General features: G+C 38.4%; 1 protein-coding gene across 53 annotated transcripts in view, besides 2 other annotated features; it reads right to left on the reverse strand.

Moving 5' to 3' along the window:
* The window catches only part of MCTP1 (multiple C2 and transmembrane domain containing 1), a 581,405-nt gene that overhangs the window by 83,544 nt on the left and 479,137 nt on the right, over positions 1-18,724 (reverse strand). For 31 of the 53 annotated variants that reach the window (NM_001393537.1, XM_017009858.3, XM_017009855.3 and 28 more), the window contains one exon: positions 11,780-11,899. The exons of 21 other annotated variants lie outside the window; for them this stretch is intronic. In NM_001393537.1, coding sequence (NP_001380466.1) covers positions 11,780-11,899 — 120 coding nt within the window. Of the gene's footprint in view, positions 1-11,779; positions 11,900-17,601; positions 17,668-18,724 lie in introns of those variants that run through there. One more of the 53 variants, XM_047417722.1, reaches the window with a different exon arrangement.
* Positions 6,007-7,206: an enhancer, noted in NCBI's record as "BRD4-independent group 4 enhancer chr5:94128945-94130144 (GRCh37/hg19 assembly coordinates)". NCBI's record gives its function as "activates an origin of replication core promoter dependent on BRD2, P300/CBP, MED14 and CDK7 cofactors, and independent of BRD4, by STARR-seq in HCT116 cells {active_cell/tissue: HCT116}" and the evidence as "EXISTENCE:reporter gene assay evidence [ECO:0000049][PMID:35650434]".
* Positions 6,478-6,697: an enhancer, noted in NCBI's record as "active region_22794". NCBI's record gives its function as "activates an Ori minimal core promoter by ATAC-STARR-seq in GM12878 lymphoblastoid cells {active_cell/tissue: GM12878}" and the evidence as "EXISTENCE:reporter gene assay evidence [ECO:0000049][PMID:35858748]".

Below are 18,724 nucleotides of genomic sequence, written 5' to 3' on the forward strand. Positions count from 1 at the left end.
GACCTGTAAAATGGCATATGCTTATGGTATTTCTGTAAAATTCAGTTACTAAGGTGCTTTAAATTGTTGAAGATTGCTTTGCTCAAATTTCTTTATATGCTTTTATTGATAAAAATACAGTTTTTATTTTTGTGGGACTTCCGTATACATTGCAAGGGGACTATGGATACAGGAAATCTTACTGTGGCAATGCTATTATCTTTGCCTACAGGCTTAAAACCAAGAAAAATGACTCACGGCCATGAAAAACCATTCTCTTCCACAGGACTTACAAGGGAACTCTTCAAGAGAGATAGTGACATATAATGTCTAAGCCCCCACTTGCTTGCTGTTTTACACATGGCAAAGTTCCCAGGTGTCATCTATTAAGCACTTACTGTTTTTTTTTGTTTTTTTTTTTTGAGACGGCGTCTCCCTCTGTCGCCCAGGCTGGAGTGCAGTGGCGCGATCTCGGCTCACTGCAAGCTCCGCCTCCTGGGTTCACGCCATTCTCCTGCCTCAGCCTTCCGAGTAGCTGGGACTGCAGGTGCCCGCCATCGCGCCCGGCTAATTTTTTTGTATTTTAATAGAGACGGGGTTTCACTGGGTTAGCCAGGCACTTACTCTATGCTTAACATGTTATGTTAATTGTCTCTTAAATTCTTAGAAGACTCCAACAAGGTACCTATTGTCCCCATTTTATTGGTGAGGAAATTGAAGCATAGCAGAATGAATAACCTTGTATAGCTAACAAGTAGAAGGTTTGGAATTTAATCCCAGATCTTCCGAATTTCAAAGCTTGGGCTTTTAACCTCAAGCCACTGGAAAGATACAGCGGTAACTCTTATCTTAAAGGTGTTTTTGCTGTTGCCTATGGGAGTATAACCCATTTGAAAACTTTATTTAGGTAAACTGACTTTCTCTTGTTTAAGCAACGCTACCAGAACATTCAGTTAGTTTTTAAAGAACTGATAGAGTATACTAGTTTCTTTTTGTTGTATAATGAAGTAAATTCAGTAAGTAACAAATGACAAAAAATGTCCTTGAAGGTATATTTTAGTTTGGTCACTAAAACATACTGTTTCAGTTCTATGTACACAAGGGTAGAAACACCTTAAAGTTGTATGCTCTTGACAAAGGTATCTCATACAACGCTTTAAAAAATGAACACAAAACTCTCAGCGTTATTGGACTCCTAATACTTCTGATTTATAAACACTTTCCACAAGCAGATAAAGACATATCATTTGTTTTCCACTTTTAGCTTGTTAATTGGGGTCTTATAATTTCTTGTCACCTTTCTGAACCAAGGACAATAATTCTCCACAAATATATGAAACTCTCTGCTACCATCACCCTTCCCCCACCACCACCAAACAGAGAACAATGATCAAGACTAGAAATGCAAACTAGTTCTAAGGTCATGAGTCAGGCCGAAGGTGCTTCTGTTGGCCCCTTTTTCTCCCTCCCTCCCTCCCCATGTTTAGAATAGTTTGGCTCTCTGCCAAGAGGAGAGTGCAAAGTCATTTAGAAAGAACAATCAGGAAATCGGTAGGATAACACATCCACCCTCAAACCAGAATTGTGGGTATCCTTTTTTCCTCCCCAGTCTTACATCTCAATTACGGAAATGGTGAAGTCCTGGGGGCAGATATTTGGAAGAACAGAAATGATAAGACCCTTTGGCAGACATATGGGTGGACGCTTTGGAGAACCATCAAGATGGTGAATTCTTTGGATCCATGGAAGGATTTGAGGGGTTTAGGAAGCTGGTTTTTCAGTGACTCTCTGGGGCTCCAGGGTTCAACTGCAGCTCAAATAAGTGAAAATCAACCACTTATGGGAGCACTAATTTCAGATTTCCTTCACAGCTGCCAAAAACAATTCATTTGATAGAAAAGGAGTTGGGGAAGAAATCCTCTATAAGAACTAAGAGTACCTCTTTGCCTCATCATATTCTTATATGCATCTCTGGAGAACTGAGCAAGGTGGGAAGAATTCAGGAAGATGGTGGAGGCTAAAATATGAGAGTAACTGGAAACAACCTCTAGGGCAACTACCACTAACTTTAAACTGGAAGTCTCTCTTCTGAGTCCTAATAGATCTAAAGCAAGAAGTGTGCATTCCAGTGAGGAGAATCTTTAGTAAATTGACTTTTAAAAATAGAAGTGTTTCCTTTACATCTTTCTCTATTTGAACTGACATGTCACGTACTGGTAATACTCATCTTCCACCATTCTACCATTTTATCTTTTCAATTTTAGGTTGGACTGCAGTTTGAGAATTGAGTAAAAGGATAGCCAATAAACTCAAAAAGTATTAAAACCAAACATGGAGTTACTAAGTGAAAGCAACAGACTGAGGCGTGAAGAACAAACAGTGGCCACAGGTAGATATTTAATCCCGTTTCATTATATATGCAGTACTCACACACATATATCTGGGACTATCTAAATGTCTTTTGACTAAACATTCTGCATGCTGTATACAGACCTCTTATCACTGCACCTATTATATTCATGTATTCTATCAGTTGTTTGTTTCTCTCACTAGACCACAAACTGTCCTGGGCAAGGCGTGTGTCTTCATCATCTTTGAACCACAGTTTGTACTGTTAGTGCCTATAAATATTCAATAATATTTGTTGAATGAAAGTAATTTTGCATAAAAATTAGATAATTTTTATTTGGAAGGAAAGATCAGACTAAAATATTTTCATTCAAACATTTTTTGAGTAACTCAGAGCAAAATGGTCCGAGCCATTTTGCTGTGTTGAGATTAGACACACAAATGGAAGATTCAATTAGAACAATCTGAGGAGGACCCACAGTGAGCCAGTTATGATAATATACTGAGAGTGTTGTGATTTTTATTGTTATGATTTCTTTCTAATTTGGTCGTGAGGTCTGTCTCTTGAGAGTGACCATGAGCCACGATAGCCACTTTCTAGGAGTGCTCTGATGAGAGGAAAGTAAGACTCAGGTGTGTCAGTCAGACGAGACACATTAAGGAGGTGAACCCAAAGTGCATAAAACAAGAAATTTAGTACTTACTGGTCCCAGAGAGGTTAGGGATGCCAATGGGAGGCCCAGGGAAGGCTGGAGGCCACAGGGAGCTCAACCAGTGGGTGCGGCACGCAAGAGAAAAAGAGGACCCACCAGACTATGCCTTTATTAAGGTCCATGGATGTTATCCCGTGGCTGGTTTAAAGAGAGCACGAGGGGAAATGCTGACTTGGCTCCAGTGCTAACCATTAGGGTTCATCATGGTCAGCAGCTGTGGGGTGTGTTGGGTTAATAGGATGAGAAGCAAGTGGGCTGCAGCATAAACAACCACACAGAGAGGGTAAGCTTTAACTAGCCAAAGGGGACGGGTACTGCTAGGTTTCAAATAACTCATGTCGGGCCTTAAAATGGATGCCTAAGCAGCAACTATATGAAACAAATTTATGACAGACGTGGGAACTCAGAGGTGTGGGCTCACTTAACCTCTTAAGAGTATGAGTTGGTAGGGTCAGACTGGTAGTAGGGGGTGAGTGTCAGGGATGGTGCTCCAGAAGAAATAATAATGATAATTAGTGGTTACCCAGGCACAGCTGTATAAAATGTTAAAGGCTTAATGGGTGGCAAATTAATATTAACTACCAAAAACCTTCAAAATGCATATACTCTCACCCAGAAATTCTTCAAGGACTTTCCAAAGCATATTACCAGAAAGGGACCCAAAAATTTCTTTAGGATTTTCTTTATAGTATTGAGAAGGCAAAATATTTCAAGCGGGCCAGGCGCGGTGCCTCGCGCCTGTAATCCCAGCACTTTGGGAGGCCGAGGCAGGCAGATCACTTGGGGTCAGGAGTTCCAGACCAGCCTAGCCAATACGGCGAAATCCCGTCTCTACTACAAAAAAAAAAAAAAAAAAAAAGAAAAAAATACAAAAATTAGCCGGGTGCAGTGGCAGGTGCCTGTAATCCCAGCTACTAGAAGGCTGAGGCAGGAGAATCACTTGAACCTGGGAGGTGGGAGTTGCAGTGAGCCGAGATCACACCACTGCACTCCAGCCTGGGTGACAGAGTGAGACTCTGTTTCAAAAAAAAAAAATTGAAGGAAACATTTCTAAAAACAGTGTTTAATTAAGAAGACTGGTGCAGTGGCTCGCACCTGTTGTCCCAGCTAGGCAGGAGGCTGAGGTGAGAAAACTGATTGAGTCTAGGAGTTCGAGGCTGCAGTGAGCTATGATGGCACCACTGCACTCCAGCCTGGGTGACAGAGGGAGACCCTGTTTCTAAAATACACACACACACACACACTCATATAGTGAAAATTGTATAGAAATTAAAACTCGTGGTGGGCTGTTTTCCAGGAATATGAAGGATATTTCCAGATATGTTGCAGAATAAAAAAAGTAGGTGAGCTAAAATGCGTTAAAGGTGATTCAATTTTTATAAAAAACAAAATATGTGTGATAAGAAATATACATTTACATTTGTAAGTATATTTTAAAGAAAACAGTAGAAGGCATAGAAAGAGTATATAGAATATTTGGGAAACTACAAGTATACTCTGCTCCAGATACTCCTGTGACCACTGGGGCTACCCCACCCTGGTCCTCCTCTCCAGACCCACTATCTTTGAAGGTCTTCTTTTCCCAGGGTGAAAGGCCCCTCTTCCAGCACCTTTCTCAGGTGGGTCATAGCCCTCATGGCTGGACAGCCACTTCCTCATCGACGCCAACCGGCTTGCCTACAAGTCTGCTGTGCCAGTGGAGGAGCCCCGAAGACCATCCCAGGATGATGCACCCCATAAGAGTACAGCCTTGCAGGGGCTACAGCCACCCACAGTGCACCTGTGTCTTTGCCAGCCCCCTGCAGCTGCATAGACACCATGCATCACACTCAGACCTCAAACTCTTCATGTGCGGCACCTTGGGCAAGGATTTCAAGCTCTTCCACCACGCTGCACATCTGTCCTCAGTGCTCACGTGACTTCCAGGCCTCTGCCAAGTTCCAGACCCTGCCTGCACTGCCCTTCTCCAGGCCACCACATCTATCCCATGCTGTGCCATTCCCACACACGCTCTGTGAGTACTGGCTTTGCGGATATTACTGCCTTATTCTGGGCCTGAGTTTCTCCATCTGTCCAAAGGCAGAAGCATCACTCCTTTTTCCTCTTTTCCAGTTGTGTCATGAAGACAAAAGGGGTTGCCTTCCCTGAGCCTGTGGACTGGGTGAATAGGAGTTAAAGCAGGGAACACAGGCCTGTGAGCCAGCTGTGCTTCCCATCCAGCTGTGCTGTGCTAGCTTTTGCAAGTGGCTTGGTTTCCTGCTCTCCCAAGTGGCGAGCAATTGCTGTCCAGAAGAAAGTGATAACAAAAGAGTATGGCCATGGTCTGGTTCATTTCTGTTTCCTCACCCTTAGCCCACTACTCCCACCTTTTGCTCAATAAACACTGCATACTCCAAAACAAACAAAAGCAAAACAACAACAACAACAACATACACATAAACAATCCTGTTGGAATATTGGAGGGATGAAGCTGAAACTATGGTTTAAGTGGGGCCTGCTCCTTATGGGTCTTCTATGCTTGAAGATGTTGGGGAATACCTTTATTTCAGAACTGTCACCTTCCTACAGGTCTGGAGGTAAGAATAAAGGTACAACTGGGATAGAGTTACCAGATGAATATAGAACATCCACTTAAACTGGAATTTCAGACAAATTAAGAATATTATAAAAACATATAAGTGTAAGTATGTCCTGTTGTTATCTGAAATTTCCATTGAATTGGGCATCTGTGTTTTCATTTGCTCAATCTGGCAACCCTAACTTGGGTAATTCATAGGGCTCAGGGCTGGAATTTGAGGGAAATTTGCAAAGTGGAAGGCCTGGTCATCTACTGAGAGGGAGGGGACAGTGGTGGGGGGACTTGGGATGAGTGAAGAAAATGTAGAAATCTTGTTGGTGCAAATCCAAAGCCTGATGACGATGGTTATTAACATGTTGGGATGCACTATGTACAGCAAGTGATTATCTAACAAGGCTAAACAGTTGGTGAACAGCTTTGAGAGGGGTCACAAGGGATAAGCTTTCTACCAACATCTGATTGGCTGTTGATTCTACTTATTTATCCTAGTGATCGTGTTGGAAAACTAAAGGTCTGGTTCTTTTCATGGTCCTCCTCAGATTTTTTCAAGCTGATGACCTTTTGAAAAAAACTGAGAAAACTGCTGTTGAAATAAGCACGAAGAAGAAAAGAGTGATCATCCATTTTTAGATGTGTTTACAGGCTGTATGACTCAGTGTTGCTTCTGCTAAGAGCACTGAATATGTGGTCTTTTTTGGTACTGAGATGCAAACACAGGAAACTTGTGGTCTATGCTGCTTTCAGTGAATGATAAAACTCTTACTGAAGTAGAGAGAGTCTAACTGTATGTTCAGAGTGCTTTGCATATGACGTCCTCTCCTCTGTCAGCTTGGCTTTGGCCAGCCTCTTTAGATCCTGTTAGGAATACTTGACTTATTCAGTATTCCACATATTCCACCACAGACTTCTTTGGAATGGAGAACACTGGCTGACAAAATAATAAATGTGCTTGATTTATAGGAGTTCAAGTCAATCAGATGTTTCTTTGGTGGACCATCCCAAACTGTTCAATCAACAGCACTTATGGCACAGAGTGCTGCTCTTAGGAGCTTTATTTGTAGAGATAAGTGCTCTGGTTCTCACTGGAACAGACCTAATGGGAGACAATATTCAGTACTATTCTAAAAGGGAAATGAAGAAACAAATGCTTTGTCATGAGAAGGAGCTAACTAAACACTTCAGTATTTCCTAAAGTATTTTAGCAAGGCAGACTCTGTCTCAATTTGTGTCACAGTCATATCATGAGTCAGAGAATGATTTCATTGATCTGCCCCACTCTTCAGTCTTTTAATGCCACCATTGATTAGATAACTGAGATTGTTGTGTGGGAGGAATATCATGACAGTAAAAATGAATGTTCTTTTAAAGTGTACTTAAAAAACATTGAAGAATTTTTTTGTGTCAAAGAAATTTTTGAATTTATTCACAAAAAAATTATTCACGAATATGAAGAAGTCAGCTTTGATGGACTCTTCCCATGCTCACCTTGGTGAATGGAAGGTAGCCCTCCTGGTCACGAATGCTTCTGAAATTAACAGGGGCACCTGGGATAGAACAGATGACCAGCACCAATTCATGCAAGGTTACTGGTTACCTTACAGGAAGGAATTTGGAGACACCCAGGATTCTATGCAAGGCCCTGGACACTAAGAAAGCAGTCCTTTGGGAAAGGAATGCCCATGCATGTAGCATAGATACAGCCTGGGACTTTACAACAGGGCACAATTGGGTTCACATCACACTTGCTCTGGGGAGTTGCTTACTTATCCTCCTTGATACTGAATTTTCTTACTTGTAAAATGGGGAAAAAACTATTTAGAATTATTTACTTTATATAATTATTGTAAAGAATAAAAGGAGGTGATGTCTCTAAAAGGCTTAGCAGGATGCCTGATACATAGAAATTGCTTGATAAATATCATTTTTGTTTCCCTGAATGAGAGATATAGAAGACATGGGGTGAGTGGTGTGGGAAAATTAATACTTTCTATTAATGTGTCAGCTTGAAGGTAGAGTTAGTGCTACTGGCTTTTCTGTAATTCGTGGGAGAAACTTGCTGTAACAGTGCCCAGGGAGAGGTGGGATATATCCCCAAGAGGAAATGTGATTGACTGGTGGTTCGGAGTATAAACTTCAGACAGACTGCTCTGTGTTCTAATACTGGCTCTGACACTTTCTGTGTGTTTTTGGGTAAGTTATTTAATCTTTCTGGCCCTGTTTCCCTCTATGTGCAGTAGAAATGATACTTACAGGGTGTGCAATAGACCCCTGGTTTGCTTGGCTAACCTATTTCCTTCATTCTCTGAGACTTGATTCTCTTTTCTCAAGGAAGAGCTCTTGCAGCCATGCTTGTCTACATGAGCATATTCCTTTGCTTACAACTGATGAAGGGACCTGGGCGGGGGTGGGGTGGGGATGGCGGCAGGTCACTCGACTTAGGAGGATCCAACCCATTGACTGGGCTAACACAATCAGTTTCTCTCTCTTGGAGGAGGACTAAATGACATGGTGAATATAAAGTACTTCACACAGAGCCCACGGTGTAATGATGGTTCAGTAGTTTTTAAATCAAAGTAAAAGCCATTTCCTGGCATCTACTCTTCCACTTTCAAAATGTCTCTCTACAGTAACTGTAATTTGGATAGTTGGTACAAGCCTAATAGGCAATGCCGGTGAGAATTTTTCCCAGGTTTTGAAGTGACAGCTCAAACCAACAGAAGGATGACATTCCTATCTTTATATCCCTTTCACGCCAGGGACATTTCTGAATGAAGCATGTCTTAAATGGTTTTCTCTGGAAAAGCCTAACAACTCTAATGCTAGAAATTTTAATGTCATGGTCCCAGTCTAGGTATATTCAGACCTAAGATTGCTTATTTTTAACAAGTCCAACTAGGAAACAGCAGAGGTGAAATACCATTTTTAACCACGCCTCTTTCGCATGGGCACCCTCTGAGTCTACAGTTTTAACCTCAGGAATGGCTCTTTACTTATTCTGTCCTTAACAGGTTCAGCTCATTAAATGCTGCAAAACTTATTCAGCAAGGATTACATCTGATTTTGCTCATTAAACTAGAATAGGCACCATGGTGGGGAAAAAGGTATAGGGGTTCAATGCCTGTAATCTTAAAGGTCTCCAAGAAAGGAAAGACTCCTTAAACAATAAACACACAAAGAAACACTTTCCTGTTTGGTATTAATCTCAACTATTAGCCAATACATTGAAGACAGAATTTTACCCATCTATGCATTTTTCATCTTTCACAGTGTTTCTTTTCTTTTCTTCTTCAACTTCGTATGTCACGGAAATTTTGTTTCCTTTTCTTTCTTTGCTATACAGACCTGAAGGTCATTTTGATTTTTCGTTTATAGTTTTCACCCTAATTAAATTTTTGGCAGCTGAATGTACAGATTTTTGTTTTGTTTTGGTTTGATTTTTGGTGGCAGAAAATTCTTTCTCTTTCTCTGTCTCTCTTTCCTAAAACAGAAAGTTTCCTGGTTTGGAATCAGCCAATGGTGTGATTAATGCACCTCGGAGATCCTGTAAAGTTTTCACACATGCTGAAAGATTCTGTGGTGTCTCTGGGATATCAATATGGACTTACGGGAAAATACCATACTTCCAGTGCTATGCGCTATGCAGGAGAGTCAATGCATCGCAGCATGGCAACCCCTACAAACACTTTCCCTAAATTCGTATATATGTGTGTGTGTGTGTGTATCCACATACACACACACACACACATATATATAATATATATAATATATATAATATATATTATATATGTAATATATATTATATATATTATATATATATGTATTCTGTAACCAGCAAAGTATAATCCAGGTTTCTTTTCAAAAGGAGCAACCGGTTCAAATGCACAGCTGGATATGCCAGCAAACACATAATTAGACAAATTGGATTTAAGAGTTACGTAAGGTCTTAACTGAGCCAGTGAATAAGAAGCTGAATGAAACGTTGTGATTGCTGCTCTGGTGCCTAGAAAGAACAGAATATGTGGATCTGTGTGTTTTGGGCAAATAAAAGGCAATTACTGGGAGTTATGGAGTGTAGTTGGCATTCCATGAGAGTTAGACTATAGAATGTTTCACAGTGGGTTGTGCTGGGGAAGAAAAATGTCCATGGCTAAAAGAGGAGCGTGTTAGAGGAGATGTACTAAAAGGAAAAGATTTGGTAAATACTATTTTGAAGCTATATTTTGCAAAAATTATATGATATGCAATTTTTCAATAGGCTATAAAATGTCTTGGATAATTTTAAGTACAAAAGGATACATTATATATTATTTTTCTTCCAAAAGCGGATGTTTCCAACCAAGCCAGGTATATTCTGGAGAAGATAACAAGCAAAGTCTACAGTTTCAGAATTTTTCACTAAGAATACCAAAACCAGTGACTAAATATTGAAGATAAGCCCCCCCTCATAGAATTAAGAAGGTAAAACTAAATTACCAGTTTTTCCTATTTGCAAATAATCTTATTTGCAAATTTGTCTCAAGGCAACTGAATGAAAAGTAGATATTCTTCTCTCTCTAAAATCGCCATGAAGTAAATGGGACAAAAAAGCAATTGTCTGAAAGAGTCCTATTTTCTTCCAGAAAACATCCTGAATTAATTGATGAAAGTACCTATTAGTCCCCATGACACCAACGCTTATAGCATTTAGGGCTTGTCTCTTAGTGTGCAATTTAAATATATATCCATAAAATCCTTGCCAATAATACTAATAACGTCTTGTCTATTGGTGCTGCCTAACCATTAAAATCTCTATTAGCAATCTCATGTTTGGTTTGATATACATTACAAAGAAGGTTTTGAACATGTCTAATTTCCAAAGCAGGTACTACAGATGGTGGCAAATACAAAGATGAACAGAGTTCCTTCCCTCACATTTATAATCTAGTAAGAGAGACAGAAATATAATAGAGAAATATGGTGCATTGTTGGCAACTTTGTCACATACTAAAGGAAATTATTTTGAAGAATTTTATATTTTGCTTACATGGCTATTTGAAGTGTATTTTGCTTGTATTTTAATGAACGGGAAGTTCTTTTACATTGAAGGTATGTATGCAACCATTATGATGGTTACTATTAAGTATTATATTCTACTTTTAAGCTGATGATCAAATAATTCTGCATAATTATGGGCACAGTAGTAGGCAAAAAATCGATTTGTGATCTATTATAATCTACAGATCATAAATCAAATAGAGATCCTTGATGGTAAAAAAAAAAAAAACATAGTAATCTGCTGAGGACAAGTAGATTCTCATGTTTGCCAACCTTTAAATTCTTCTCAACAGCTGTCTATTGAGTTACCAAATTGCAAATGTCATATTTGGAGAGGACACTCCCCTCATTTATTTACATGTGGGAAAGCTTTTTGAAGTTGCTTGCTAGGGTCATAGTGATAGACAATCCAAGGGGAACAAAGCTTGGCAGAACATATGTGATTATAGTGTGGGCAGCTCCTGCTTCTTAGTCTAAAACTCTTCCAGAAAGAGAAGGTTGTCTCATACAATCTGCTTTCAAAAATGCCAGAGGACAGGTAGATTTAGTATAACTTTCCCTAGGTTAAATGAAAGCTCCTCATCCTTAAGCTGATATCTCAATACACCCCTGACACAGAGAAGGATATTTACTGTTGTCCAGCGAACCTTCATTGAACTAAGGTACTTTATATACATTTCCAGGTCAACAACCATCAATCCTTCATTCTTCCAATGACCGAGCACAAAGAATCTATCTGTCTTAAGTAAAATACATTCACTTAGTTTGATCATTAGTAATTTTGTGACATTGTATCTTAAATCAGGATTCATTAAGATATAACAAATAAGAAGAATAAAGCAATTATTTGAAGTAGCACCCATTTATGATTGAAAATCATAGCTCATTCTTTGATGTTGCTCCCTGTTTTAGTTTCTACCAGGAGGAGTAATGTTAGAAATAAGTGAATACTCTCTATTGTGTTAGGACCAAAGAGTTGTTAGTTTTGACCTGATAAAACTTTCCTCTAAACTTGAGTATTTATAGACAGAATTCCTGGTTTGTAAAGCCAAATTCAATGTTGATCTTGTCAGAGGGACTCAGAATAAGAACAAAAACACATACAAGTAAGAGAGTAGAGACTTACTGTATCACGTTGCCTGTTATCTTTCCCTGATATTATCAAGAAGTAGTTCCATGTCAATAGTAACAACAAAACCAGTGGTATCATGTAGAGCTCAAAGTTCCAGACAACAAAGAGAAAGAGCTGGAGGAGATAGAAGAGAGAAGAAGGGATGAGTCAACACTGAATTTCATTAAATGGACTCTTATTTATACTCTACTTCAAAAACACAAAACCAAATGCTTCAGAACAGGAAGATTTATCTTGAAAACAAAGCCTTGGAAACTTTTAGACATTTTTCTAAAAATATAACTGACCCGTGAAAAGTCACTGGTAAGATTTTCAATCTGTTTAATTTCTATGAAGGAAAAGTTGATATCATTACGTTGTCAAAGACGAAATTTGAGTTTTTCTCCTCCAGTGAAATTATTGTTAAGTTGAACAAAATTTTTAAAAAGCAGCAAAATGAACTCCGCTACACTGTCAGAAATACCCTGGTTTATCTGCCTTAATGATAAAAAATGAATCACTATTTAATATCAGGGACTTTTAAAAAATCTCGCTTGGATAATACAATGTAACAAGCTTAATAGGCAGATGAAAATACCAGGTCTACACAAGACAGCCCCAAAGATTTCACAATATGAAAAAAAGCACTGCTACGGACAAGTGTACAAAATGGTTGGCTTAATATTCAGCATTACCATAGAAATCAAAGAGCTATTACAAGCAAATTTTGTCAAAACAAATTTTAAAATGCCTATTTGTATTGTTCTTTTTTAACATACCTACTTCTCCAAGTATATAAACTTTTTCATTGTAAGACAAATGTTAGATTAAGAACTCAGGGTGGTAGATGGAGTCATTCTAAGAACACTTACATTATAAAACAACACAAAGTTGGATATAAAGTATGACTCACCCCCACCCGACACCAGCCTTGTAATCCTGGACAGATCATTTAAATTCTCTGGGTCTATGGCTTTTGCTGTCAAATTAAGGTAATGTTAAGTCAGGAGGCATTTAACAACTAGATTCCACTCCTGACTCTAATGCTAACTAGCCATATAACTTTCAAGCAACGTATATATCCCCTCTTTCGTTTCTTCCCCAGTAAAATGGGGACGATAGGATTATCCACCTCAGGGTTGTGAGAATTAAACACAATGCTTGGTGTGCAGTAATTTCGCAAAAACCAAAACCCAAACCATTATTGTGTAAATGTTATTAATACATTACAAAACACAGAAAGTCAACTAATTATTGATTAAGGTCCTCAAGTAATACAGATTATAATACTGGAAGCTAGAAAGCCCTCTGCCTGCTAAGATTTAGCTGAACCATAGCGTAACTGGGAGTTTCAGCCAGCTGGTTGGAATAACACAAACATCTTGCATTTGATAGGTCAGGAGAGTTAGGGGCAGTGCCCTAAGGACACCCGTCTCAGGCACAGCAGCATGGGACATTTGCAGTCTTCTTAATAAATCTCAGTGAAGCCTACAGCCTATTTAAATGGCAGAGAAAATTAAACAGTATGAAATGGTAGAGAGACTCCTGGCCTCAGGGCCAGGAGACCAAGGTTCTGAGTTTTAGAAAGTCCCTCTGCCTTAGTGTTCTCATATCTTGACAGAGGTCTATAAATCTAATCATCTTTAATATTTCTCTAATATTTAAAATGACTTCATGACATTACTGTACCATCCGTTTTTTCAATGTGACATTAAATTTTGAAAATTGTATATTTTACCGAATTCTTTTATATTCATAACCAAGTGGGCACCAAAAAGCATAAATAATAGTTAAATAAGCCAAGAAATGATTTTGGACAGAATTACATAGTAACTATAGATTCAAGTTCCTGCATAAGAAAAGTTCCAAATATTGTAATACATGAAACATGAGCCATATCTTTTATTTTATGAGAAAAGTAGGAAGATTTCCAGAAAAAGAAAAATATTTTCATTTAATTTTTGAAATTTATACAATTATACAAAGATGATATAAATAATTGATGGTTATGATTATTAAAATATATTTTATAAAGATAATTATTTTTTTAGGAAGTGAATTAAGGTAAATGTGACAGACATCAATACATGTAAAAGGGAAAATCATTTTTGGCTAAAGTCCATATTCTTTATATATTTATTTGTAGCATTTAGGCAGTCACTAGAATATAAGCTCCTTTAAAGGTAGACTTTTTGTTTTCATTCACTGTTTTATCCGTAGAGCCTGGAACAGTACTTGGGGCATAGCAAGTGCTCAATAAGTAAATATTTACTGAATTAATGGATAAATGGACACTGGGTTCCCCAATCATTCTACAGAATTCTATTTAATTATTTGTATTAGCAAAAGTTCTATAGATCTACTATATAAAACCAAGTGACTTCAAGAAAATGCATTCAGAGTTACAATCTGGGATACTACTAACAAATTTCTCCCTCTGACAAAAAAGTCTACCTTAGTACTTCTTCTAGACAAGATTTTCTTTCCATTTGGCTATGCAGTCATGAACTATTTTGGATATTATGGTCTTTTCTCTTGGACCTTCCTTTATGTTCCTTTTCTGAGGGCATTCATTTGACTTAGTGTGTTCTGGCGTCATGGATGGGACTCAGATTATCCCATTGCTAAATATGACCAATTGTAATCTTTTTAACCTATTAAGCAGATATGTTTTCCCTTGTAATGTCCATTCATTGGTGTTAGGGTCCTCGTCTTATTCAGAATGAATTTCCTTGTAATGTCCATGGATTGGTGTTAGCTGCAGGCCTGTCATCCACAGAAAAAACTACCTAGGTGACAATCCTGCAAGCAATCAAGACATCTTTCATGCATTCTTCTTCTCTAGATTTGACATCACCACTTGCTTCAAGCATCAGTTACAGATTATGGTTTCTAGGCACTTCCCCATTGTAGTCATCTTCCTCTTACCATATCCAAATCAATACATCAATAACTTTCTTAAAATATAGCACTCAGAACTGACACACACTTCTCATAAATGCCTAAGGTATTTTTATATGTCCTAATAACATGGGCACCAGAACATGGATTGGAGAAAGACACAGAAGACAGAGACACAGAAAGAAATTACATTCATTTTAGGAATTCTGGCAATAGAAAAACCATCTCCTTTTCTATTGTGGTTTTAAGAATCTAATATTTGGGTAATTGAGTGAGGAGCTCCTACTATTGAAAAAATATATATTTTTAAAACATGAGAGCTTTGAATAAGTTGTAAATACAAAAGCATTTATTTTTCTTTTTCAGCACCTAAATGAAGATTTCAAAAGGTTAAAGAACATGAACACAGATTAACAATAAAAATGTATTTATTGAACATATATGTTATGAAATATTAGATGTTTGAAAGTAGAACAGCCAATCATTTATTCAATATAATATTAGTGATAATTCTAATTCCTGTTAGCTGGTGAGGCTCCTCTAATAAAGAGAGCTCTCGAAGGAAGAAAGGAGCTTTTTAGCTCATTCACTCCACACTAAAGCCTCTTCTCTCCTCTCTCTTTGGAAAGAGATCAGTCTTCTCCTCTTTCCTATAAAAAACTGAGATAACACAAAAGGTCTGGCCTTTAGTGTCCTACTAGGGTAGTAAGAGAAATAAGGCAGCTGGAAGAAACCCAAGGAGGGCCAAGACAATGAAGGATCTGTCCTTGGTCCTGATTATACATTTTCAGAGGTATTGGGGGAAACGAGAGATACAATAATGCATTAAAATGGGATGGAAAAAGAAATCAAGAAACAATTTTAAAAATCTCTAATGTATTCACAGAATACAAAAATAAACCATAAAATGTCTAGCATTTGTCCAGATCTGCATTTCTGGAATTGCTTTTTGCCTCTGTGGGTCATGGAAAGAGGACCTGCAGATTTTAGAATTTTTTGATGTTACAGTGCGGTGATAAGGACACTCACAAATGTCTACAGAGTGTTAAATTCCTTCACCTCCTTCACTATAGCACCCTTTCTGTATTTTTTCCTCTCTCTCTGTCACATAATCTCTTCACGTCTCCCCCATCTCTCCTTTTAATAAGGAAACAGGCTGTCTACATTTTACTCTCATGGAATACATGCCCAATTCCAAACAAAACATCTACCCCTATGTTAGTTATCCATGTTCATTAGAGACTAGAACTATTCCAAGAATTTGGTGGCTTTCTTTTTTAATCATTATATGGCTGTTGTAATTTACAATTAGAATTCAATACCAGAAAATCTTCAGGGGGCATTAGTCAAATGGTAATAAGTACACACAACCCCTTTCATTAGAAAAAGAACATTGAGAGTTTTACTCATTATCCTGCATGTTAGAAGCTCTCTATCAACTGGCTTTGGGCCGTTAGCCATGACTGTGGGATCCCTCAAGAAGCTGCTGCAGTGTGGTACAGTAGAAAGAGAACGGTGTTTGAATCAGGCCTAGAGGCATCCAAGCTCTCTAGTCACCAGCTTTGGGACCTTGGGCAAGTTACTAGATTTCTCTTAGTTTTGTCGTCTGAAAAGTGAAAATGATACTATTTACTTGGCAGATTTGAGAAGCAATTAAGCCGATGCTTGACATCTATAAGATGCTCAACAAGCATTAGGTGTTCTGACAAGCAGGAATTGATTGGCTTACACTACATATAATTTTTTTTGGCCCTTCTAGCAGCTTATCACTTTTTGTATACTACCTTAGAATCCATAGCTAATGATTGTTTCAAGTATAAGAGCTATGCTAAAGAAGCCATGCCAACTAAATAGAAAGAGATGATGAAATGAGTGCCACTTTCAGTTTTTCATATTTAATTTGTGGTGACTGAGTACAGTGATGACCCCGATTTTTCCATGTCTCCCTGTATCCATGACTTTTATAATAGCCTCCCACAATGACTGAGATTAGGCACATAACTTATTTTGGTCAAGGATAGAGTAGCAAATATGATGAAAACAGAGGCTTAAAAAAACATGGGGCATAGCTGCCTCCATCACCCCAGTTGAAAGCCAGACAGCATCCAAAGCAAAGCCACCTGACAGACCAAGAAGCCAACCAAAGATGCAAGAGTGAGCCCAGAGCTAGGCCTAGTCCAAACTGCTAACAAAATCATCACTAAATAAATGATAGTTGCTTTAAGCTACTAATTGTGGAGTGGTTTGTTATACAGCAAAAGCTCACTAATACATATTATTCTCTCTCCAAGGAGACAATGTGGTAGGGTAAAATACAGTTTCGACTAGAAGCCCAAAGAAGTGATTTCAGTTCAATTTCTGCTATTTGATCATCATAGGACCCTGTGCAAGTCAATTATTCTCTTTTCCTTTAGTCTCTTACCTATAAAATGGAGATGGTTACACCAGCCCATTTCACAAGTTGGCTATGGAAAAGCAAGTGATACATGTGAAGATGCTTCATCACAAAGTACTATATTATTAATGTAATGCTTTTCTTTTCTTTTCTTTTCTTTTTTTTGAGATGGAGTCTTGCTGTTGCCCAGGTTGGGGTGCAGTGGCGCGATGTCGGCTCACTGCAAGCTCTGCCTCCCAGGTTCATGCCATTCTCTTGCCTCAGCCTCCCGAGTAGCTGGGACTACAGGCGCCCGCCACCACGCCCGGCTAATTTTTTGTATTTTTAGTAGAGATGGGGTTTCACTGTGTTAGTCAGGATGGTCTCGATCTCCTGACCTCGTGATCTGCCCGCCTCGGCCTCCCAAAGTGCTGGGATTACAGGCGTGAGCCACCACACCAGGCCTATGCTTTTCAAATTATAAATTAATTTTAAGAAAATTACACAGACTTTATAAACTTAATAAGTCAATATGATCATTGCTCTTTGAGCAGTTGTAGAAGACGAGTGGTGTTCTTTAGGGTGAACTGTATTTGGTGAGGAATGGAGAAGTTTTTGGTGGGAAATCCTAAGAGTTAAACAGAAGGGTTCCAGTTAAAAGCTTTACTAATAATTGAAACAAAAAAAATCTAGATCTTTACAAAAATTCATTATTACTAGTAAATGGCCGAAACATTAAAGATTCTGTGAACTCAAGTTAAAACAATTCAGTATTAAAATGTTAACAATTTTTTAACAATCTTATTATGCCCCTATATATGAAAAAAAGCTTGTTCGGAATTAGCAGTTTCATGAATTCTAATTCTTGTTCATAGTCTTTGTTCATTTTTAAATTCAAAAATCTTTTATCTAAATCAGTATTATCTTGCCTATGATATTAGTGGCAACATTACAATATGCAATTTTGAAGTATCCATTTGGGTCAGGCTTTAAAAACATTCTAAATTTTAACCATAAATATTCAGAATGAGGGTTTTTTTTTGAAAAGTTTTAATTTACCACAAGGTAAATAGGCCGGGCACTGTGGCTCATGCCTGTAATCCCAATACTTTGGGAGGCTGATGCAGGAGGATTGCTTGAGGCCAGGAGTTCAAGACCAGCCTAGGTAACCTAGCGAGACCTCGTCTCTACTAAAAACAAAAAAATGTAGCTGGGCCCGGTGGCATATGCCTATGATCCCAGCTACTCAGGAGGTTGAGGCAGGAGGAACTCTTGAGCCCAGGAGGTTGAGGCTGTAGTGAGCCGTGATTGCACCACTGCACTCCAGCTTGGGCAACAGAGCAAGACCCTGTCTCAAAAAATATATGTAACACTATTTCTCCTAACAAGTATCTTATATCATATCATATTGCACAGAGAGAACTTTAAGGAAAAAGTCCTGAGAGGCAGACTGGGAGGGCAGGGACTATTACCTTCCTTTTACAAAGGAGGAAACTGAGGCTTAGGAGTTTGAGACTTGTCTGAAGCAAGTCTGAGTGGCAGAGCCAAGTCTTCTCCTTCCTAATCTAGTATGCTGTTCCCACGAAGCTCCACTGACTCTACAGTAAATGGTCTTAGATTGAATGTTGATGTTTTAAAGGTATCAATTATTTAGGTACTGATTATCCAATTGTAGATTTTCCATA

This window comes from Homo sapiens, chromosome 5, assembly GCF_000001405.40.
Source record: "Homo sapiens chromosome 5, GRCh38.p14 Primary Assembly".
In the NCBI taxonomy this organism is placed as follows: Eukaryota; Metazoa; Chordata; class Mammalia; order Primates; family Hominidae; genus Homo; species Homo sapiens.